Consider the following 23949-nt stretch of genomic DNA (forward strand, 5'->3'; position numbering starts at 1 on the left):
GGCACAATTCAATTATATTTTTTCAATGAGGTATACTTATGTAGCAAAACTATGAAGAAAAACAAAGAGATGATTATCATAAAAGTCAGGATAGTAGTTACCTCTGAAGGCAGGGAGGGAGGGGCCTCTGGGGTGCTGGGCAAACCCACCTGTAACATTTACAGGGCTTAGGCAAGGGTTCAAATAGAGACCTACAGACCATACATCTGAATATTTAAATATTTAAAAGTTTTAAAACAAGCATACAAACTATTAAATATTTTCTATCCTCCTGCCATAATAAATATACCTTTACAACTGACTAGAAGGCCAGGTTCATATTGTGTTTTTGTATTTTGCATTCCATGGAGAAAAGCAGTGGTGCAGGGCAAATTGGCCATTGGCTCACTGCCCACAGCCCCCTCTCCATCCTGTACTGCAAGCTCTATCCCATACCCTATTCCCCACTGACAGCTATCCTTAGGCCACCCTTAGACCTAGGGATGTATACACCAGTAGCATAGTCCACTCCCAGGAGGACAGACCCCAGGGGAGAGACTCACACAGGCTCCAGAAACAAGCTCAAGGCCATTTGGGCAAGAAGTTCTGAGATGCTGGGTGCTCAAAGCATGGTCTAGGATGGAAGGGTTTAGTCTCCAAGTGACCATGTTCCGTAGGCCCCAGAGACTCCTTGCCCTGTGGAAAGGGCACTGGTAGAGGAGGGACAAAGCAGATCCTTCTAAAGCATCAGGCCAAGGCAGGGGTCCCTCTTGCCAGGACCAGTATTTCTGAAGAACTGGATAACATTATATTTCTTAACCTGGATCATAATAACATGGTTACTCAATTTATACTTATTTGTTAAACTATACATATGTTTTATGTACTTTTTCACAAATAACAGGACAGATATCATGGTCTGCTTACTGGATGCACTGAAAAATACATAACACTTTTGAGATACTTTTACCAAAAACCAATAACCTGCATCTAATCATGAAGATCCAATCAGACAGATACAAATCCAGGAACTTTCTACAAAACAACAGACCCAAATTCTTCAAAAACATGTCAAAAAAGACAAAGAAAGGCTGTAAAAATTATTCTAGGCTGAAAGGAAGTAAACTGACATGAAAACTAAATGGACTGCATGATTCCGGATTGGATTCTGGGTCATAGGGAAAATGCTGTAAAGGACATGATATAACAATTGATTAAATTTAAATATGGACAACTGACATTATATCAATATTAAATTTTCTGATTTCAACCATTATACTAGGGGTATATAAGAATATGTCTTTATTCTTAGGAGATATATCCAGAATATCTCCTGGATATGCAGGGGTGAAGGGTCATAATGTCTGCAACTCACTCTTAAATGATCCAGCAATAATTCTGTGTGTGTATACTCACATGCACACATATGTGCTGTGTATGTATTGGGGGGGTGATAAAGCAAATGCAGCAAAATAATAACAATTGACAAATCTAAGGAAAGAGCATACGCACTGGACTGTCCTTGTAACTCTTAAAATAGTCTCAAAACAATTCATTCGATCCAGCAATCCCATTACCGAGTATATACCCAAAGGAAAATAAATCATATTAAAAAGATAACTGCATTCATATTTTTATAGAAGCACTATTTACAATAGCAAAGATACAGAATCAATATAAGTGTCCACCAATGGGCAATTGGATAAAGAAAATGTGGAATACTACTCAGCCATAAAAAAGAATGAAATAATGTCTTTTGCAGTTCCATGGATGGAACTGGAGGCCATTCTTTTAAGTGAAATAGAAAGTCAAATACAGCATGTTCTCACCTATAAGTGGGAACTAAATGATGTGTACACGTGGTCATAGAGTGTGGAATAATAGGCACTGGAGACTCAGAAGGGTGGGAGGGGCTGAGGGATAAGAAATTACTTAATGGGTACAATGTACACTATTCAGGTGATGGGTACACTAAAAGCCCAGACTTCACCACTATGCAATATATGCATGTAACACAACTGCTCTTGTAACCCCTAAACTTATACTAATTAAAAAATAAGGGCCAGGCGCGGTGGCTCACGCCTGTAAGTAATCCCAACACTTTGGGAGGCTGAGGCAGGCGGATAACGAGGTCAAGAGTTCGAGACAGCCTGGCCAACATAGTGAAACCCCGTCTCTACTAAAAATACAAAAAATTAGCCGGACGTGGTGGTGGGCACCTGTAATCCCAGCTACTTGGAAGGCTGAGGCAGAAGAATTGCTTGAATCCAGGAGGCGGAGGTTGCAGTGAGCCGAGATCATGCCATTGCACTCCAGCCTGGGCGACAGTGCAAGATGCCGTCTCAAAAATAATAATAATAAAATAAAATACTTGCAAAACAAAAAGTTAAAAAAACAGGCCGGGCATGGTGGCTCATACCTGTAATCCCAGCACTTTGGGAGGCCGAGGTGGGTAGATCACCTGAGGTCAGGAGCTCAAGACCAGCCTGGCCAACATGGTGAAACCTGTCTTTACTAAAAATATAAAAGTTAGCTGGGAGTGGTGGCGGGCGCCTGTAATCCCAGCTACTTGGGAGGCTGAGGCAGGAGAACTACTTGACCCAGGAGGCGGAAGCTGCAGTGAGCCGAGATTGTGCCATTGCACTCCAGCCTGGGTGACAAGAGAGCAATTCCATCTCATGAAAATAAATACATAAAATAAAAGTTTAAAAAATAAACTGTAGAGTTAAACAAAGGTGTTGTCTATGGGGAGAGGAATTAGATGGCTGAAATAGGAAGTAGTATAAATGCTATTCACTTTGTTCATTCTTCCATTTCATCTGTACCTTTCAGATTTTGTTCATATTAACAAATGCCTTCTCCGTGCCTGACCAACACGGAGAAGCCCTGTCTCTATTAAAAATACAAAATTAGCTGGGCGTGGTGGCACATGCCTATAATCCCAGCTACTCGGGAGGCTGAGACAGGAGAATCACTTGAACCCGGGAGGCAGAGGTTGCGGTGAGCCAAGATCACGCCATTGCACTCCAGCCTGGGCAACAAGAGCAAAACTCCATCTCAAAAAAAAAAAAAATAATATTATTATATGCAGGTGTTTTTGTGGGTGGACCAAGAGTCCTAAACATACCTTTGGCAAAATGTATCACCTCTTAGGCACCAAGAAAAAGAACACTAGATCATAAGGTTATTTTTCTCATTAACCAAGAAAGATTTTAAGAAGAAATATATGCTGCCTGCACAAGATACCCTGGTCCTTCCTAGGACCCTCTTGTCCAGGAACACATATTCAAATTAGCCCAAAAGCTAAAGCCAGAGGAGGTGTTTCCTTCAACTAATTTTCAACCTTCTTTTGCCAGCAGACATAAAATTTACTAAATTAAGTCCAAGCATCTCCTTCTAGATTAGTGGCAGAGAATTTCCTTTATATTATTTTGTATCCTATAATCTAATTCTACCATTAGATTGGTAGACTAGAGGTGAAGCCCTGCTCATTAGCAAGGTGACAATATTTCACACTAAATAGTTGACTTCCAGGCATCTGTGAAAGATGCAAACCAAGACCCAATGATTACAATGAATAAAGCCATACTTCAAGCCTATTATGCTTGAACTCTTAATTCAGACTATTCACTGTGTTTTCATTCTCCATTCTTCCTAGGATAATGTGAGCATGAATAAAAGGAAAAAGGCACTTAAACATACTTAAAGACAAATAACAATTTACTCATATTCACATATTATCTCACGTGCATAGCTATCTCAAACAATAAGTAACACACCATATCATAATCAAACATGCAAAGTACCTGAAAGAGTGCCACCTGTCCTGGGATAGGCCACTTCAACATATACTTCAAATGTGGTCTCTGGATTCTGCCTACAAAAGAAACAGATCATGATTACTGACAAAGATTGAGGCAGCATGGTATAGAACATGTGGGCTATGGTATTAAACAGATCTTCCTTGAAATCATTAGCTCACAACTTAATGGCCGTGGAACTTTGGACAAGCTACACTATTTCTCTGAGACCATGCCTTCCTAAACTACAAAATGAAAACACTTAGCCAAAGAATTACTGTAAAACTTGAAATATATATATATACAGGTCAGGTGTGGTGGCTCACACCTGTAATCCCAGCACTTTGGGAGGCCAAGGTGGGAGGATCACTTGAGGCCAGGAGTTCAAAACCAGCCTGGGCAATATAGCAAAACCCTGTCTCTACTAAAAATGCAAAAATCAGCCAGACATGGTGGTGCACACCTATAATGCAAGCTACTTGGGAGGCTAAGGTGGGAGGATCACTTGAGCCCAGGAGGCAGAGGTTGCAGTGAGCTAAGATCACGCTACTGCACTCCAGCCTGGGTAACAGAGTGAGATGCTGTCTCAAAAATGAATAATAAAATTATACACACACACACACACACACAAATTGTCTAGGCATGATGTCTGGCACATAATAGGCTAGCCATTACTATGGTTTTACAGATGTCACATTTCCAATTTCCACAGCTGGATCACCAAACCCAGAGGTAGAAATTTGAGGAAACTCAGACCAAGGCAACACCAGCACAAATTAGCCCTCTCCTCAGTATATTCCAGAATAAAACACGAATGTGACAAGATTAACTTGCTTATGTACAGGTTTTCAAGACTTAAACAAGAGGAACAGTGTATCTCACTAGACTACTGTGAAGACAAGATGCCAATCTAAACGTAAGACACTGTTCCCACATAGCTATATAACCTTGATAAGTTCACGATCTTCAGGATTCAATGGGCCTTCACCTGTATTGGCAATGGTAACTGTATGAATTTTTATTATTATACTCTTACTTGTTTATTTCATAACAGTTCATAAATTTGTTTATTTACGTATTTATTTTGAGACAGAGTCTCACTCTGTCATCCAGGCTGAAGTGCAGTGGCACAATCTCAGCTCACTGCAACCTCTGCTTCCCAGGTTCAAGCGATTCTCCTGCCTCAGCCTCCCAAGTAGCTTGGATTACAGGAACACACCACCACGCCCAGCTAATCTTTTGTATTTTAGTAGAGATGGGGTTTCACCATGTTGGCCAGGCTGGTCTCGAATTCCTGACCTCAAGTAATCCACCCGCCTTGGCCTCCCAAAGTGCTGGGAGCCACTGCACCCAGCCAATAGTTCATAAATTTTTAAAAGATCACAGAACAGAATGTTTATGGTTAATTCTAGATAATAAGAATACTGTGGTTATATTATTTTTACATTTTCTCTTTAATTTCAAAACTACCATAAAAAGATGTTTCCAGATGAAATAAAAATCATGTAGCAGAAGAAAATGTTGTACTTTCAAATATCTGTAACTTAATTCTATTTTAAATCTGACAACAAACATGAGGTAAGAAACCTTCTGAGTTGCCTAATCATCTCTAAGGATTTATTTACATCAAATAAATACTTTTAATATGCCCAGCGGCATCTACTTTTCAAAATAGCAATCTCAGTTATCTCATTTCATCGTCATCATAATCCTGAGAGATAGGTGTGTCAGGATTACTACAACCATACAAATGAGCAACCTCATGCAAAGGGATTCTAAAGTGACTTGTCTAGAAACATGGCCAGGACCAGAACTCATGCCTCCTGTTTATCAAATCCTATTTCACTCGATTCTAGAATGAACTGTTTCCCCCCACGTTTTCATATCTCTTACAACCGACAGCATTTTACAATTCTAAGAGCCGGCATTTTTTCCTAGTAATACCTTAAATAAAGGCTTATATTATAAATAATGGCATTTTACACTCACTAAAAAATGGTAATACTCCCTCTACTTCCTTAGGAGGGGAAAGAAAAATAAGTGTTTTGTGAATCAGGAATCTACTTATTTCGGGGGTGTAAAATCGTCATTTCTCCCCCAGAGAGAAACATGGGCTTTTGCTTTCAAGCGTCTGTAGCAAAGACCTGGCTGCTCTAAAATTCAAGGTATTTAAATATACCTTGTCAAACTGAGTTATTTTTAAAATCAGACATTAAGTCACAGTATCTTACTTAAAAAAATTAAGTAAACTGAAGTTTCAAGAGGACCTTAAAAAATTGTTGTGCTCTTTTTTCCCTGCAAGAGGGTACAAAATGATCTTGGCATCTTTGGCATATGGGACCAAATATTTGTGGAAAATACCATATGCAAACACCCCTTTCATTCAAAAGATCTTAAGGTAGAACATTTGATGAAAGAAAGGGAAGTTCAAAGGTTCTTTCATGAGTAATAGGTAGTATAATCTGAAGAGCATCAGGAAGATTCTCTCTGAAACCTCAAAATGTCTTTCTTAAGCCTAGTTTGCAAATGGCTGAATTTCATCTCAGAATTTCATTCCTTTGGATTAATATAACAGCCTTCAAAGTGTGTTCTTCAGGACCCTAGGACTTCATGGAGGTTCTTTAGAGCTTCCCACATTTTTACTCAAGTTTCCATTTTTAATTTATTTTTATGCATTTTAAAAATTGAAATAAAATGAGCATGCAAAGGTGTTATATCCAAACTTTAAAACACGGGGACACCAACACATTATCCTGTACCACAGGGTGTTTTGTACAGCCCTGCTATCTAAGTGAAAAATGGCCTAATGTATATACTCATTGTTTCTGCTGCTTCTTCCTTTCTCTAACATACTCCAACCAGGCTTCTGAACCCACGACACCACTGAAACAACTTGGTCAAGGTAACCACAGACCTCTGCATTGCTAAAATGTATTTAAATGCTCAATTCTCAGTGCTCATCTTACTCGGCCTGTCAATAGCATTTGATAGTTCATCCATCTGCCCTCCTCCTTGAATGTCTTTCTTTTCTTGGCTTCCAGGACGTTGCTCTCTGTTGATCCTCTTCCTACCTCACTGGCTACTCCTTTGCGAATTCCTTCTCAGGTTAGCTCTCCTACTGTCCCTGTCTCCACTCATTGCTTAGATGATCTCATTCAGTCTCTGGGCTTTCATTACCATGCATACAAGCCCCAGTCACATCTCCAACCTGACTACTTCTTCCCTGACTCCAGACTCCCTTACCCAGCTGCCTACTCAACATCCCCACTGGGCCAGGCATGGTGGGGGATGCCCAGCTACTGGAGAGGCCAACGCAGGAGGATTGTTTGAGGCCAGGAGTTTGAGACCAGCCTGAGCAACATAGCAAAACCTTGTTTCAAAAAAAAAAAAAAAAAATCCCATTTGGGCATCTAAGAAGCATTTCTAATTTAACATATCATATTTTTCTCCCTCAAACCTGCATCTCCTGAACTCTACTAGTTGCTGAGACTAACAAAACTTAATGTCATCCTCGACTCCCGTTTCATATGCCACAGTCAACCAATCAGAAAATTCTACTGATTCTACCATCAAAATACATCCAGAATCTCAACGTTTCTCAGCACCCCCAAATACAACCATCCTTGATAGATCACTATCATATCACCTCGATTACTGCAGCACCCTCCTGATGGGTCTCCCTGCTTTCTTCCTTGCCCCTCTATAGAGTCAGATCACAACATTAACAGACAGTAATCCTTTTATTCTGAAGTTCAGGTTATGTCACTTCTTTGCTCAAATCTCCTAAAAGCTCCCCACACCACTCAAAGTCAAGTCAAAGTTGTAGTCCTGGAGCTGCACATTGACAATTGTTGCCCCACAATATGAATACACATAATACCTTTGAACTGTACACTTGAACGTGGTTAAGATGGGAAGTCTTATGTGAAATTTACCACAATTTAAACAAACAAAACAGAAAAAGAAGGTGGCAGTCCTTAGCAATGCCTACAAAGTCCTACATGATCTGGCCTCTGCCTACCTGTCCAACTTCATTTTATACCTCTCTCCCCTTGCCCACTGAACTCCAGCCACAATGACCTTCTTTCTGCTCCTCAAACACACCAAAGAGAAGTCCCATCTTACAGTCCTTTATATTGATCTTCACACAGGTGGTCCTTCTTGGCATTGAAAACTCAGCTTATATTTGGCCTCCTCAGAAAGACCTTCCCCAACACACACTCTATCACCTAACTGTAATTCTCCACATTATACCTGCCATAATCTTGGTTTACAGTCAGTCTCCTTTCTCTAAATGTAAGCTGCTGGAGAGCAGGGATCTTGTCTATCATGTCAAGGAGTGTTTCCCTGGTGCCTGGGAAGTGACTGGCACACAGCCAGTGCCACCTAAATACTGGGTAGAAGGCATAAAGAATAGAGTTGCCTTCCTGAGGTCTAAAAGATTTCAATAAATGATGGGTGTGATCATCCAGTTCCACGATTCTCAAACTTTAGCAAGTACTATAGTCACCTGGAGGGCTTAACTAAAAGATTTCAGTTCCCATCCCCAGAGTGTCTCAGGTAGGACCCAAGAATTGTATTTCTAACAAGTCTCCAAGTCATCCTGATGCTGCTGGACCCGTGACCATACTTTAAGAACTACCAGTTAAGTAGAATTCTTCCAGATAATTTAGAATATACATCATAAACATAGGGGATACCACAGTAATCCATTATTTCAATAGTGCGTTTGCAATAAAAGATAAATTTCAAAGAAAAAAGGCATTTGTGGAAACAAGGAAGGTTATTCCTCTTCTTCTACCACTATCTGTAGTTACTGCCTCACTCTAATGAGTCATAATAAAGCCACCTAAGATTCTTACTCAGTTCAAACAGCTGGTAGAGTTCTATTCCATTACATGGAGCCAAGGATTATGACAGTCTCAAAAAAAAAAAAAAAAAAGAGCTAAAATGCTAAGAACAAATTGGTCTATAATTATAAGTTATGGTCATGCTTATCCATGATCATTTCCATGTTGCCTTATGGAAGAAGTGGTGAGTAATGTTGTGACAAGTTATGTAACATACCAACAAATATACATCAGTTATTTTAAGGGCCAGGGAAGCCAACGCAGATAGAAGCATTCTCTATTTCTCTGCAAATCAAAAATAAAAAAGTGCCTCCTCTAAATGCAAATAGCCAAGCAACCCCCTTAGTTGGTATTTTCATTAAGCCTGTAAACAATTAAGACTATAACAATTTCCAGAGGCTCTCTGCGACCACCTTGAGATTGCTTATCCCTCCATTACTCTTCAAGATGTTTAATATTTTTAACTTTTTGGCTAAAGGAACTGAAAATCCTATTTCTGTCCTATTAACACTCACTGCTAATTTGGTACATGTAATGATGCTGAGAATGCCACATTCAGAGCCAATTTTCCAATATGGACCCAAGTTTTCCCAGAACACTTCATGATACATCTTAAGATATTACCATGGAAATGTCCTGGCTCTGCCATGATATCCCATTATTAATTGTTTCATTCTCCTATAGACTCCTAACCCTGCCCACCTGCCAAGCATTTTTTTTGCCTCCCACCCCCCATCTTCTTCAGTCTTGTACCCTACAATCCAGCCATATAGATCTACTTGTAGCTCTCTAAGCAAACCATGCATGCATGCCCTAATTCTAGGACAATTATACCATTTCCATACAGCTAACACCACTTACTGCTTCCTATGTGCCAGCCATGATCCTAAGCACTTCACATGCATTACCTCAATTAGTCCTCAACAACCCCACAGGTAATACTACTCCCGGTTTAGAGATGAGGACACTGAAGCTCACAGAGAATAAATTGGCCAAAGACAAAATGACCAAGCAGCAGAATCAGCATGGAACTAACTCCAAAGACAATAACCACTTCACTATTCTACATTATTCAATTGCTTTTTTGCCAAGAACAGTCTTTCCAGGCTTTTTCACTTGACAAACTCAGGCACTTCCTCTTCTCTAGGAAGTATTATTGTTCAACAACCCTCCCATCTCCCACCTGACCTGCGAGCGCGCGCGCACACACACACACACACACACACACACACACACTCACTCTCTCTCTCACACACACACACACAGACGCACGCACACAGCCTAGACTGGGTTAAGTGCCCCACCTTTATGCTCCCAAGCACCCTGTACTTCCCACTCTCCAGGCTCTCACCATATCCAACCCTGGTACAATTACAATTACCTGGGGGGCTTTTAAAAATCCTGATGCCCAGTCTATATCGCAGACCAATTAAATCAGAATCTCCAGGCACTGATACTTTTTAATTCCTAAACTTATTCCAAAGTACAGTCAAGGTTGAGAACCACTGGTGTGTCTCAGATAAAATATAATACATTCTTCCCCACTAGACTGGCAGCTCCTTGAGGGTACCAACTGTGTCTTCTCATAACCCTAGTCTGACACCTGGCTCAATAAATGTTTCATGAATGAGTTTTCCTCCAACATCTGACACGTTTCCAGCTCCCACTAATCACTTCTCTTTCTCTGACAAGAGGTAATTTACAGAATACACACTGCTTACACCTATTACTCTGTAAAGATGTTTTCCTTTGGAGTAAAAGTTCTCAATAAGTCACACCTGCTGACAACAGCCTCAGCTCTTAAACACTGAAAAATGGCAAATACAAACAGCTAAAACGTTTTTGAAAGAAGGGAGGTCTGCTCAGTTTTTGCTTCTGGGAGAATGAAGGCTGAGGGTAAGCCAATAGAGCATTTCTATTCAAGATCTCTCTGCTGAACACAGTTCTCAGTGCACCGGAAGGGTCATGCTCAGTGCTCAGGACCATGTTCTTTTTTTTTCTTTTCGAGATAGTCTCACTCTGTTGCCCAGGCTGGAGTGCAGTGGCATGATCTCAGCTCACTGCAACCTCCGCCTCCCGGGTTCAAGTGATTATCCTGCCTCATCCTCCCAAGTAGCTGGGATTACAGGCACCTGCCACCATGTCCGGGATTTTTGTAATTTTAGGAGAGATGGGGTTTCACCATGTTGCCCAGGCTGGTCCTGAACTCTTGACCTCAACTTATCTGCCCGTCTCAGCCTCCCAAAGTTCTGGGATTACAGGCGTGAGCCACCACACCCAGCCAGGACCATGTTCTCAAAAAGATTAAGTACACTCAGCTTGAAGCCATGAAATAGACAAAGGCTTTGACAGTATTTAGGCAGCAGCAAAGCTTAATGGCGTTTTTTGTTTTGTTTTTTTTTTCAAGGCATCATGCTATTGATCACTCTGCTGGATCATCAGCTTTTAATTAGGATCTACTTTTCCTCAATTAGAATATATGAGATTAGGAGAAAAATGTAACATTAACTCCTCATAAAATGAATCTGTGTTGCATATGGTAACCATGCCACAATGGTAGGCCCTAGTCCTTTTAAGGGTAATTTAGAGCTACAGACCTGAAACGAAATAGTTATTAGGACCCCTTACTCATTTCACGGTCTTCAAAACTTCAAACCAGCTTCAGCGCAGTGTTTCCTTAGTTACAAACTTACATGCTGAAGGGGCTGAGGTGTACCGTTTAAAAATTCATACCAATTGAACTCTCTTAAACTTGACAACATGGTCAAAAGAAACTGTATACACTTCAGAACGCACTAGCAAACACCACCTAATAAACATTGAGTCCTTTAAGCTAGAAAAACAAGCAAAAAGGTAGTGTTAAAATTTCCAACAAGTCTCCATTTGTTTCACTGGACTCTGAAATTAAAGCCTTTTTTTCCAGGCTGAAAACATTGTATCAAAGAGTGCTTTCTAGCCCATAACAAGTTAACACCTCCATAGGAGAATGCAGTCATTGTTGAGACTTGTTAGAAAATTAACTTAGTTGTGTAATTACACAAACAAGTCGTTTCAAGACTACACTTAACTTCATTTCTAATAATGTTCTCAGGATCAGATTAATGAAGATACGCAGATATTGCTACGAAAAGAGTCACAAAGGTTTACCTTCCATATATCCCTACGGGAAGATTCTTAAGCCTCTAAGTGCAAGCAAGGTAACTGGAGGAGGGTTAGCTGCATTCCAAGCAGAGAGACAAAGCCTGAACACCCCTCAGCAATGTGCAGTACAACACACAGTGTTAATAAGTTGTCTCATATGCTGAGCTGCAGTGTAAAATCTAGGCTTTACCCATTAAGGGCATTTGCAAAGGTGATATTTATCTCATTATCAATAAACATTTTTGACCTTACAAAAATGTAAAAACCTCCCCTTCCCTTTCTGAACAGTTTAGTCCTAAACCTGTTAGGTAGGCAGAGTGAGGTAGACGTTCATGCTGGTGACAGCCCAGTGTGAGATGTCAGAGCCTGGGCGGGGCAAGGAAGGTGTCCCTATGAAGGGGCAACATCCATGCTGAGGGATGTCCTGGCATAAGATGCACAATCCAACTGATGAGGAAGACATCTACTCAGGGAACAACCTGGTGTGGGAAGTCAGAACCTGAGTGGGGTGGAAGGGTATTCACGCACAGCACAGCTGGGCCTGGGGTGTTGAAGCACAGGCAGAATGAGGGGGTACCCATGTGAGGGCATCCCAACACAGGGTGTCAGAGCTGCAGAGGGTGAGGAGCATGTCTAAGCATTAGGGCCCCCGAGAATGGAGGCCAGTGCCCAAGCAGGCATGAGGAGATCGTCCATGTTGGGTAGGAGGAGGCTTCCCAGAGTGAGTGGGAGTCAGAGTCCAAGCAGGGCAGTGGGGCAGGAGGTGTGGAGAACCACCATCAAGTCCTTGTGATGCCAAGAAAGCAAGGTGAAGAAGGAGGCGAGCATGCACACAGGGTGGAGGTGAAGGGGCCGTGTGCCTAATCTGAACCCAAGGCTACTTGGAAGACATGGGGAAGGCTGGTTTCTTACAGTTGAAGTTAACAGAAAACCAACATGACTTATACAAAGTTGGATTTGAAATGCAGATATTAGAATGTGCTCAAGGTTTATATGTATATATATAACTTGATAGAAAAATAAAGCATAAATGTAACCTGACTTTTCACATGCACACATATTTCCCAGCTCTGGCTACTGGGAGGGCCTGGGAGCAGCAACACCCCAACAGCAATGAGCACACCTAATTCCCAGGCCTTGGCTTCTAAATACAATTCTCCTCTAAAAGGAACCAGGGCTCCTAGGAGAAATAGCTGATTCTAGCACTAAGACAGGGAACGTGCTAGATGAACTTGGAACATTTTTTGTGCCAGGAAGCAAAGAAGTGCTCAAAGAATGATGGGGATACATTGAAGGGACACGGGAGCAAGCCTGAAAGGGCTTCCACTGGCCAAATCTGGGGCAGTCTGAGCATCCAAATCAGTAAGGATATTAACAGATTTGGATCCATCAAATAAAACAAGAAGCCATGAGTTCATACGCATCTAAATAAGGGAATAAATTGAAAAGTTTAATGAGAAATGGTATATTTACACAGTTTCAAAGTACCTCCCCCACAAAATACTGAATACAAGGGAGAAGAGAGTAACTTTCAATGCAGAAGTTTGGCAAAAACCTAGTCAAGTCAAAGTGATCACCATCAGTAATGGAAGAAACTGCTGGACCGCAAAGAGCAGGGCACACCATCACTGCTGCGATATTCCTGTCGGAGATGCTACACCTGAAGAAACATCAGACAAAACCAAGTGGAAGGACCTTCTAGAAAATATCTGGCCTTAATCTTCAAAAGTGTCAACGTCATGAAAATCAAGGAAAGGCTGAAAATCTCTTCCAGACTAAAGGAAACTAAAGAGAAATGACAACTAAATGCAATGTGTGATTCTTTTGCTGTAAAGGATGTTATTGGGACCACTAGTGAAACCTGAATGCAGTCTTAGGATTAGACGTAGTAACAAATTGCCATTAACTTGCTGATTTTGATGTTTGCATTGCGTTAGAGGGGAGAATAACCTTGTTTGTAGGAGAAGCACACTGAAACATTCAAGGGTGATGATGCATCAGGTCAATACCGTGCTTTAAACTGTGTGTGTGTGTGTGTGTGTGTGTGTGTGTGTGTGTGTGTGTGTGTGTGTATTTTAAGTTCTTTACACTGTACTGCCAACTTTTCTATAAGATTCTAGTTCCTGGAAAAATATTTTTTTAAAATCATTCATTAAATACCAATTTCTCTGACCTTCCTTTTACCAAGACTTTCTCACAGGAATGACATGTGGTTCTATGGAAAGAACCCCAAACTAAACATCAGGAGGCTTGGGTTCAAATCCCAGGTAGATCCCTTACTTGTTATGGGATTAGGACAAGCCATTTAACCTTTCGGCTTCCTCCTCTGTCAAGATATATACCTGCCCTGCTCATCTCAAAAGTTGTTTCAGGGATCAAATGAGAGAAAAATGAGAAAGTGCTTTGTAAACTAAAAGATGTTAAACTAATGTAAAGGGTATTATCACGTATCATATAAAAATAAAATGGCTTCACCTTACCAATAATAGGCTTTATAAGTAATCCACATATTACTGTGTATTTCAAAGACTCAAAACCATTAGGCTTTCAAATACCGTCACTAAAAGCAATCCAGAAAATAGGGAACTATCCGAATAGAAACATTAGTCTAGGCAATAAATAAAGGGATTTTAAGAACAAGGGATGGATTGTGCAGTCAGAAAGAAATTCTCATTTTACCAAAACTGAAGAAAAAGTCTCTCCTCTACAGAGGAAAAAAAATACTGAATAAATGCAATGTATAAAAATCAAAAGAGGCCGGGCGTGGTGGCTCATACCTGTAATTCCAGCACTTTGGGAGGCCGAGGCAGGTAGATCACCTGAGGTCAGGAGTTCAAGACCAGCCTGGCCAACATGGTGAAACCCCGTCTCTACTAAAAATACAAAAATTAGCCAGGCCTGGTGGCACACAGCTGTAACCCCAGCTACTTGGGAGGCTGAATCAGGAGAATCGCTTGAACCTGGAAGGCAGAGGCTGCAGTCAGCCAAGACGGCACCATTGCACTCCAGCCTGGGCAACAAGAGTGAAACTCCATCTTCGGGAAAAAAAAAAAATTCAAAAGAGTCCATGGATGTGCAACTTATGCCCCTCAGTCAGTAATAAAGTGAACATCTGTAAAATACTTTATGGTTACCTTAGAACTCACATATGTTTCTGAAGCTGATTGTCAAAACCGTGTCAGGTAATAAGATGGTGGTATTTTCCTTGTTTTACAGTAAGGGAAACTGAGGCCAGGAAGTGGTAGAACTCCAACTGAACCCTGGTTTTAAGATTCCAAAACCCATGCCTTTTCCACCACACCACGTTGCCTGTCCAAAAATTACTCACACCTGTTTAGAGTGGCTGGGGGAATGGTGGGCCACAGACTTCTCTGAGGAGGCCATGAAAAGCTTCACCATCTCCCCAGAAAAATGTGCTTAAATGGAATATTTTTTACATAAAAATGTCAAGGCGTTCATGAAGCTATTTATGGAGGAATATGCAACAAGAACCCCTTGTTTCATTGATGACTTGCTTTTATGTTCTTTCTTATTTAACCCTCCCGCCAAGCCTGTGAGGGGAAGGTTATTTCCATTACCCCATCTAAGAAGAGCAGATATTCTGCAGAAGACCAAGTCACTTCTAAATCTTGTTAATATGTACTAAACACTTAAATATGTGTCAGATATTTTTCTAAGCACTTTTCATCTATTATTTCACTTAACCTTCCCAACAACTCTATGAAAGAACTACTATTACCATCATTCTCATTTTACAGATGAGGAAACTGAAATACAAGTTCAGAAGCTTGTCCAAGTTCACACAGTTTGTAAGAGATAGAGCTGGAATTTGAACCCAGAGAGTGTGGCTCTAGAGTCTATATTCTTGAATTTTTAAAATCAACTTTATACCTCCAACATATAATTGTATCCTCACAATTACATGTATGCTAATATACATACACTAAAATGCACTCATTGTAAGTGTCTAGTTCAAGGAACTTGGGCAACTGCATATACCCATGTAACCCCTATTCCACTAATTTTTTTTTAATGAACCTTATTATAGGCCCAATTGTTTTTCTCCTCCACACACCCTTCAAAAACCATAGTGTCTGGCTGTTGTGTTAGCACCTAAGGGCAACTGAAAAGGCCTTCAGAACAGTGAGCTCAGGTTCTCAGCACTCCTTGAGTAGTCCTTTGAGCCATCCAGAGAGCTCACAACCTGACTTCAGGGAGATCCAGAATTACAGAGTGGTGCCTTCCCCATGTCTCCCAGAAGCACTGAGCTCCTCTCTCCTTCATGGTCCCAAGTTCCCTTTTCTGAGAAGAACTTGCCTCTCCCTCTGCCACTGCTCCATTTGGACCTTAGTGAGTTGTCATCATAGATCACAGTCACCATGGAACTCGTGCTCTTAACAACGTAACGTACACTATACTGACTCAGTCTCAAATCACCTAGAAGTTTTTTAAATCAGATTCCCAGGTTCTACCACTGAAGACTGATTCATTAGGTGGGAAATAAAGCCCAGGTATCTATTTTCTGAAAAGTGATTTTGATAATCTATTGATCTATGAACCTATTTTCCTAAGTGATTCTGATCAGTTGGATTTTGGAACTACTATAAAAGAACAGTAGTTCTTCTCAATGTGCCAAGATGGCACACAACCTAGAAATCGTGAGACTCTTTAGAAGACCTTGAAATATACACTTTAATAATAATAAATAAAATCGTACTAAATCAGATACCATCTTATACCGGCAGTAGCAGGCTATCAAAAATTTAAATAAGTATATAACAAATTTACTGGAATCTCAAATCCAGCAGAGATGGAGTAACATGGACCACATTTACCCTTCCATCTGAAACAACCAAAATTCCATCGATCCATCCATCCTTCTCTCGAACAATGTTTTTCAAGAGACTGGAGAACAGACAACAAAGCACAGTGATCCCTGAGAGAAGTAAACAAGTGAGCTGAGCCCTCTGATGCCCCAGCTCACCACTTTGAGAGTTTCCAGATTATGGTGCAAGGAGGGGGGACCTAAGCAAAGCCCAGCAAACACCTGGAGCTGAGAGACAGAGCTAAGCGTCCAGGGAAACCAAGGCAGTTGAGTTTGCAGCACAGAGTGCTGGAGTGAAGAGAGCTGCACAGAGAAAGAACTCCAGAGATCTGCAAGAGCCCCCTCAAGTATATAGCTAAGTACTGATTAGCATGTGTATGTGAGGAAATAACTTAAGCCTGCACAAAGAACCAGCAAAAAAGATTACAGGTGCAGTAGCTGGTACTCACACAGGGTTAGAAATAATGCCTATTCCCCCCAGCCGAAGTGGAAAACTCATGTTCATGGTGCATTGGATAGAGTACACAATAGAGTATTACCTTAGAAATGGAGAATAAAATTCTAGGTTGCCTAGTCTAGCCCTAGACTGAGCACAACTCCAATCCCACTTAACAAACCTTAAAAAGCAAGACTCGGAAGGAGCACATTATTTCAAAGTAACATAGACAAAACATATGAAACAATGGTTTTCAAGACATTAGGCAACAAAGTGCAGCAATGCCTTGAAAGATGGAAAAGAAAGAAGTGAGCCTATGACTGCCTCAGATTACTCCCCTGAGGAAACCCAAGAATATTTATAAGAATACAAAAACAGAGGGAGAGCATCAGGGTAAATAGCTAATACATGTGGGGCTTAATACCTAGGTGATGGATTGACAGGTGCAGCAAACCACCATGGCACACATTTACCTATGTAACAAACCTGCACATCCTACACATGTATCCCAGAAGGTAAAATAAAATAATATCCCAGCACTTTGAGATGCCAAGGCAGATGGATCACTTGAGGTCAGGAGTTGAAGACCAGCCTGGCCAACATGGTGAAACCCTGTCTCTACTAAAAATACAAAAATTAGCCGGGTGTGGTCGTGGGCACCTGTAATCCCAGCTACTCAAGTGGCTGAGGCAGGAGAATTGCTTGAACCTGAGAGGCAGGGGTTGCGGGGAGCCGAGATCGCGCCACTGCACTCCAGCCTGGGTGACAGAGTGAGATGCCGTCTCAAAAATAATAAGAATAATAATAATAAAGAATAAGAATAAAAAAGAATAAAGAATAAGAATAAAGAATGGTCTGGGCATGGTGGCTCATGGCCCACTGGCCCACTATACGTACAGGATTATATGTTTTTAAAAAAAAAAAAGTGATTCAAAGAGCATTGTACAAACAAAACAAGATAAACATTTAAGATAGATATGATTATCATCCAGTTTACCAATGAAGAAACTAACGAACAGATCAGTTAAAGTCAAACATTTAGTAAGTGAGACAGCTGGGACTAGAACCCAGGCAGATTTGGCTCCAGAGTCCATGTCCCTAATCACTATGCTACAGCTCAGCATGCCACTGCATAGTTTAAAAAAGAAAAGACAAAAACACAATGTAAACCTCAAAGGCTCCCAAATGCATTCAGGAGTTAAAAGACCGTCATTAGCAGGACATGCGATGCAAGACTATTTGCAATTTAGCCTCAGTGAGACCAGACTTATCAGCTTCATCTGCCCACCACCCCCTACCAACCCACATGCCCCCACATTTTAGTCATGTTAATCTTACCATCAGGCCTCAATCACTTACATGCCTTGTATATACATTTGTCACTTATTGCACTATTTCAGAGGGGCTGGGCACTGTGCTAAGCTTAATTTTATATACAGCACCTCACTTTACCCACATGACATACTGTGAGGGAGGGAGGATCTACAGCACTTTACAAAAGTAAGAATCTTCTAGAAATTGAATTGCTTGCCCAAAGACAAATATCTAGTAAGTGGCAGTGTATGAACTCAAGCCCAGGTCTGTTCTTACTTCAAAGGGCATGCTCTTTATCATAATTTCCCCACCTAAAATGTGTTCCATCTCCTAACAATGTCCTATTTATTCAAGATGCATCTAGAACAGTGCTTGGCAAGTAGTAGGCACTTAAGAGATATTTGCTGAATGAATGGAAAGTGAATGAACAAATGCCTCCTCCTCTCTGGAGGCTTCTCTCACCCCCTTACAAAGCTCAGTTGCTCTCTCCACACCGTCACAAAACTGGTTTCAAAGCCCTGTTATAAGGCTTCCCAGGTGGTATTCTATGCTTTGTACTTATATATACATATTACCTACTACACTGGGAACTTTGTTTCACTTCACCTCTGTATTCCCAGATCCCTAACAAAAGACCTGGTTTTTAAACAAGCGCTTGGTGAATTTGTTAAGTGAATGAAATTCCCTGAGGAGGAGAGAGATGAGTAAGTGACTCATGATTCACATTAAAACTTCTTTTTCCTCCAGAAGTAAACAACGTTCAGAACTGTGATATACTCAAATGTGTGCTCTATAAATATTGCTAGGTTTCAACCATCATCCGAGGTATCTAAATTTAACTCATTCAACACATATTTATGAGTAATCTAAATACACACAGATAATGGCTCCTAAGGAGCTTACAACCAAGTCAAGGAGACAAAACATAAAATGTAAACAGCCAAACATGGGCTGTTTGAAATCAATAGAAATAAATGACTGGCTGCCACGAATTGATAAAACAAAATGCTGTGGGTTTGCAAATTGAAGACATCATTCTGAGCTAAGGTTGTGGTCCTGATTATCAGCGGATAGGATGCAATGAGGCTTTTTCTAATCAGTAGCAAAATGAGAAAAACGGGGACAATACAGTGTACTTTCCATATAAAGATATTTAATTCAATTATAAAAACTATCCTTAATTGGACATCATATTCCTCCTGCCTTTCAGATATGAAAATGTAATTTCTTTTCAAAAATAATGGTGACAGGAGATGATCATTTTGATGTAACTCCACAAAATTTGTTTTTAAGTCTGTACTTTAAAATATTCCAAACATTTGGGAACCAGTGAGCTACAGCATTCAAGAGAAGCACCATGAAGAGGTGAAACTTGATTGTTCACATTGCAGAATGAACTGGGTTTGGCTAGGTGGAGAGGAGTGGGGGGATTTTAAACAAGAGACACATGCTGAGCAAAGTACAGAGGTATGAATGCTCATGCAGAGGCTGGAGAATGCTAGCAGAATCACCCTGATTGAAACTCAGAAACACTGCAGCTGCAAGTTCCTTTTTTTTTTTTTTAAGAGACAGGGTGCTGCCATATTGCCTGGGCTGGGGTGCAGTGACTATTCACAGGCATGATCATAGCACACTGCACCCTTGAACTGCCAGCCTCAAGCAATCCTCCCACTTCAGCCTCCCTAGGTGCTGGGACCATAGCTGCATGCCACTTGCAAATTCCTACTAAGTACCCTTCAGATCCTCCACTGAAAACTATAAATAATGGTTTTTTTCCATCTTCTCAGATAAATACATTGATGAGCTTGCAAGAAAATAACAAAGATTCGGTCGGGTATGGTGGTTCACACCTGTAATCCCAGCACTATGAGAGGCCAAGGCGGGTGGATCACTTGAGATCAGGAGTTCAAGACCAGCCTGGCCAACATAGTGAAGCCCCATCTCTACTAAAAATATAAAAAATTAGCCAGGCATAGTAGCATGTGCCTGTAATCCCAGCTACTTGGGAGGCTGAGGTAGGAGAATCACTTGAACCCAGGAGGTGGAGGTGGCACTGAGCCGAGATTATGCCACTGCACACCAGCCTGGGCGATAGAGTGAGACTCTGACTCAAAAAAAAAAAAAGAAAAAAAGAAAAGAACAAAGATTCAGACAAAGAACTAAGTGAAGATAGAAACCTAACAGGGTTACCAAAACACAAAAACTCACTTTCTCCTTGAAGATATTTATGTAGTCCAATGCATGCTCCATTCTCCCAATCTAAGGGGCTCAAGGAATTCAAGACAAAACGAACATTCAGCCTAAGGAGAAAAGTGTAACAGACATCCCTCTCCCACCATTTAAAGTGGGATGACCAAGGTGATGAAGAAAGAAACCCATCCACACACATACACATCTCAGGAACTGTCATAAAAACCACTAGCCTCAAAACTCAGCACTGAGAAAGGGAAATTTTTCCACCAGTTCAAACACAAGCAGGCCCTCACAAGGGACTGCTACTGAGTGGTCAAAAAAATCTCAACAGGCCAGGCATGGTGGCTCACATCTGTAATTCTAGCACTTGGGTAAGCTGAGCCCAGGAATATGAGACCAGCCTGGTTAGCAGAGCAAGACCCCAGCTCCATCAGGAAAAAATAAAAAAAAATTAAAAAATCAGCAGGGCATGGTGGTACACGCCTGTAGTCTTGGCTACTCGGGAGGCTGAGGCAGGATGTTAGCTTGAGCCCAGGAGTTCAAGGCTGCAGTCAGCCAGGATACTGCCACTGCACTCCACCCTAGGCAACAGAGTGAGACTCTCTGAAAACAAACAAACAAACAAACAAAAAAAAAAAACCCTCAACCCCAGAATTTAAACCGAAGTGGTCCCAAACTAAGAGTGGCTTCAGGACACTAACAAAATATGTAAACCTTCTCTGGAAAAATCCACTTCAAACTCGGCTTCAAAATTTTTCTCACAGAAAGCTCCAAGAAATATGAGCTCACTGGCAAAAATCAGAAAACCCTGGGGAAACAAGGCCCATAAATAAGAACCTCAGAAATAAAAGATGGCAGAGTCAGACCTTCAGACTTCAGGTATTAGAATTATGGGAGACAGAATATGGAATATTTAATAAGCTTAAATAAATTTTTAAAAGATTAAAAATGAGTAAACAGTAAGAAACTATGACATGACCAAGGAAAACTGAAAAAGAACAAAATAGTTCTCAAAATAAGAATGAATAACTGAACGGATGACTTAAGAGCAGGAAAGATACAACCAGGGAGAGAATTCATGAACTTAAAGAAATGATACAAAATAGAGTTCAAAAAGAAAAACAGAAAATAGAAAACAAAAGCTACACAAGATAAACGCAGAAGTAAAACATTAAGACAAATCAATACTCTGGAAGAGAAGAGGATGAGACATAGCCAACAGCTGTTTTTAATACTCTAGCTATCTCTTAAGATTTCTACCTTAACTTCATTCTTGGTCTGAAAATACAGAGAACTTCCCAGAACTAACAACAGATACACATTCACACATTTAAAAGGACCAATGAACGCAAAGCAAAATAAATAAAAAGAAATCTAGAAGTTCTGGCTCCCAGTAACAGGCACACTCCACCCTGTCTCTCCACAACGAGAAAATACCTCTATAAAACCAGGGGAGAATTCATGGAGCGCTATTTGAGGAACCTAGAAAGTAGAGTAGCAGATGAAATGGGATAGAAGATTCTAATTAAAAGTACCACCAAACCAGTGGTGTGTTTGAGTTTGTTCCTCCATTATCACTCAGCATAGACTCAAGGCAGCCCAAATACTGGACGTGGACATCAGCATGAATAACTTCCAAGAGAAGCTGGCTAGTTCAGGCTCAAGAAGTAGAAAAGAGGCAGCAGCCTACAGGTACCTAAAGCATTGAGTGAGGGAAGGAACCTTTCCCTACAACCAGAGGAAGTGTGGCCTTAAGAGGATAGGGCAAACCCCTATTACTTTCTTTTCTACTCTGTCCTCTCACTGCGAAGCCCAGACTACATACACAATCATGGGAAGTACACAGCAGAGCAGGGTTAAATAAAGGGAGCCGCAGGGCACTGAGGAGATGGCAAGAGAGGGCAGTTCAAGAAAATGACTTCAGAAAGCTGATTTTGAACTCCAGGGCTCACCTCGGAGCCTACCAGCAATGCATAAAGGTCTGGCCCAGTGCAGTGGCTCACACCTGTAAACTCAACACTTTGAGAGGCCAAGAGAGAGGATCGCTTGAGGCCAGGAGTTCAAGACCAGCCTGGGGAGCATAGCAAGACCCAGTCTCCACCAAAAATTTAAAAATTAGGCAGATGTGGCAGTGTGCACAGCTACTTAAGAGGACTGCTTGAGCCCAGGAGTTCAAGGCTGCAGTGAGCCATGGTTCTGCCACTCCACTCCGGGCAACAGAGTAGGACCCTGTCTCAAGCGGAAAAAAAAAAAAAAAAAGGTCCACAGGTCCTCTTCTTCTACATACATACATCCTAGTCAACAACTAAAAAAAATTTTTTTTTAATTTAAAGGTAGGGTCTCAAAGTCCTGTATCCTTGAGCAATCCTCCCACCTAAGTGTAAGCCCTGTGCCCAGCCCAGACTTTGTAATTTTAGCCATTCTATTGGGGGTGTAGGAGCTTTCTCACTGTAGTTTTAATTTGCATTTTCCTAATGACTAAAATGATGCTGAGCATTTTTTCTTGCACTTATTTTCCATTTGTATATCTTCTTTAATACTCTTTTCAAATCTTTTGTCCATTTTTATTGGATTGTCTTATTGAGTTATGAGGGTCTCATATGTACATATAATATGATACATTTTATTTTTTATTTTATTTTTTGAGACAGGGTCTCACTCTGTAGCCCAGACTGGAGTGCAATGACATGAACACAGCTTACTGCAGCCTCAACCTCCTGGCTCAAGCAATTCTTCCCCTTCAGCCTCCCAAGTAGCCAGGACTACAGCCATGCACCACCACATCCAGCTATTTTTTTTTTCTTTTGTAAAGACAGGGTCTCCCTATTAGCCCAGGCTAGTCTCAAACTCCTAGGCTCATGCAATCTTCCTGCCTCAGCCTCCCAAAATTACAGGCGTGAGCCAACATGCCCAGCTGATATATGTTTTACATGAAGGTGGAAATGGAAATAGAAAGAACTGGCCAAATGCATGTGTTTTTTAGAAGTCTGTGGTTTGTCTTTTCATTTTCTTAATGACAGGTTTTGAAGAGCAAAAGACTTTAATTTTGATAAAGTTCAGTTTACTCTTTTACAGTGTGCTCTTTGTGTCCTACTTAAGAAGGTAAACTTGACAGCACCTTATCATTAGATTAGGGGGATAAAATAACATGGAAGGTATCAAAGGTAATTCCTAGATTTCTGCTTTAGATGAATGAATAAAGGCAACACATTACTGAGACTATATCTCCTCACAGAACATCCACAACCCACCATTAAACCAAATCACCCTTTCTGAATTTCCACTTCCACTGACTTCCCAACAGCATTCTACAAGGCTTAACTTTGTCTCTTCTATTCCCCGAGGCTCAAATCTTGAAACTCACTTCACTATATTCAGCCTGAAAACAGTTCTTATTCATTCATGCCCATA

The 23949-nt window shown here is 40.9% G+C and overlaps 1 protein-coding gene across 28 annotated transcripts in view, besides 2 other annotated features; it reads right to left on the reverse strand.

Annotated features, from left to right (window-relative positions):
- DENND1A (DENN domain containing 1A) overlaps positions 1–23949 on the reverse strand; it is a 550469-nt gene that overhangs the window by 495508 nt on the left and 31012 nt on the right. For 27 of the 28 annotated variants that reach the window (NR_148208.2, XM_047423624.1, XM_047423622.1 and 24 more), the window contains exon 2: positions 3786–3856. The exons of the other annotated variant lie outside the window; for it this stretch is intronic. Coding sequence is in view for 26 of the 27 variants with exons in the window: in XM_047423621.1 (XP_047279577.1) it covers positions 3786–3856 (71 nt within the window). In the remaining variant the exon portion in view is untranslated. The remainder of the gene's footprint in view (positions 1–3785; positions 3857–23949) is intronic. 28 annotated transcript variants of the gene reach the window in all.
- Positions 19518–20118: an enhancer, noted in NCBI's record as "OCT4-NANOG hESC enhancer chr9:126656962-126657562 (GRCh37/hg19 assembly coordinates)". NCBI's record gives its function as "activates a minimal SCP1, AML or CMV promoter by ChIP-STARR-seq in naive H9 embryonic stem cells {active_cell/tissue: H9 hESC(naive)}" and the evidence as "EXISTENCE:reporter gene assay evidence [ECO:0000049][PMID:30033119]".
- Positions 20015–20064: an enhancer, noted in NCBI's record as "active region_28951". NCBI's record gives its function as "activates an Ori minimal core promoter by ATAC-STARR-seq in GM12878 lymphoblastoid cells {active_cell/tissue: GM12878}" and the evidence as "EXISTENCE:reporter gene assay evidence [ECO:0000049][PMID:35858748]".

This window comes from Homo sapiens, chromosome 9 (genome assembly GCF_000001405.40).
Source record: "Homo sapiens chromosome 9, GRCh38.p14 Primary Assembly".
Classification (NCBI taxonomy): Eukaryota; Metazoa; Chordata; class Mammalia; order Primates; family Hominidae; genus Homo; species Homo sapiens.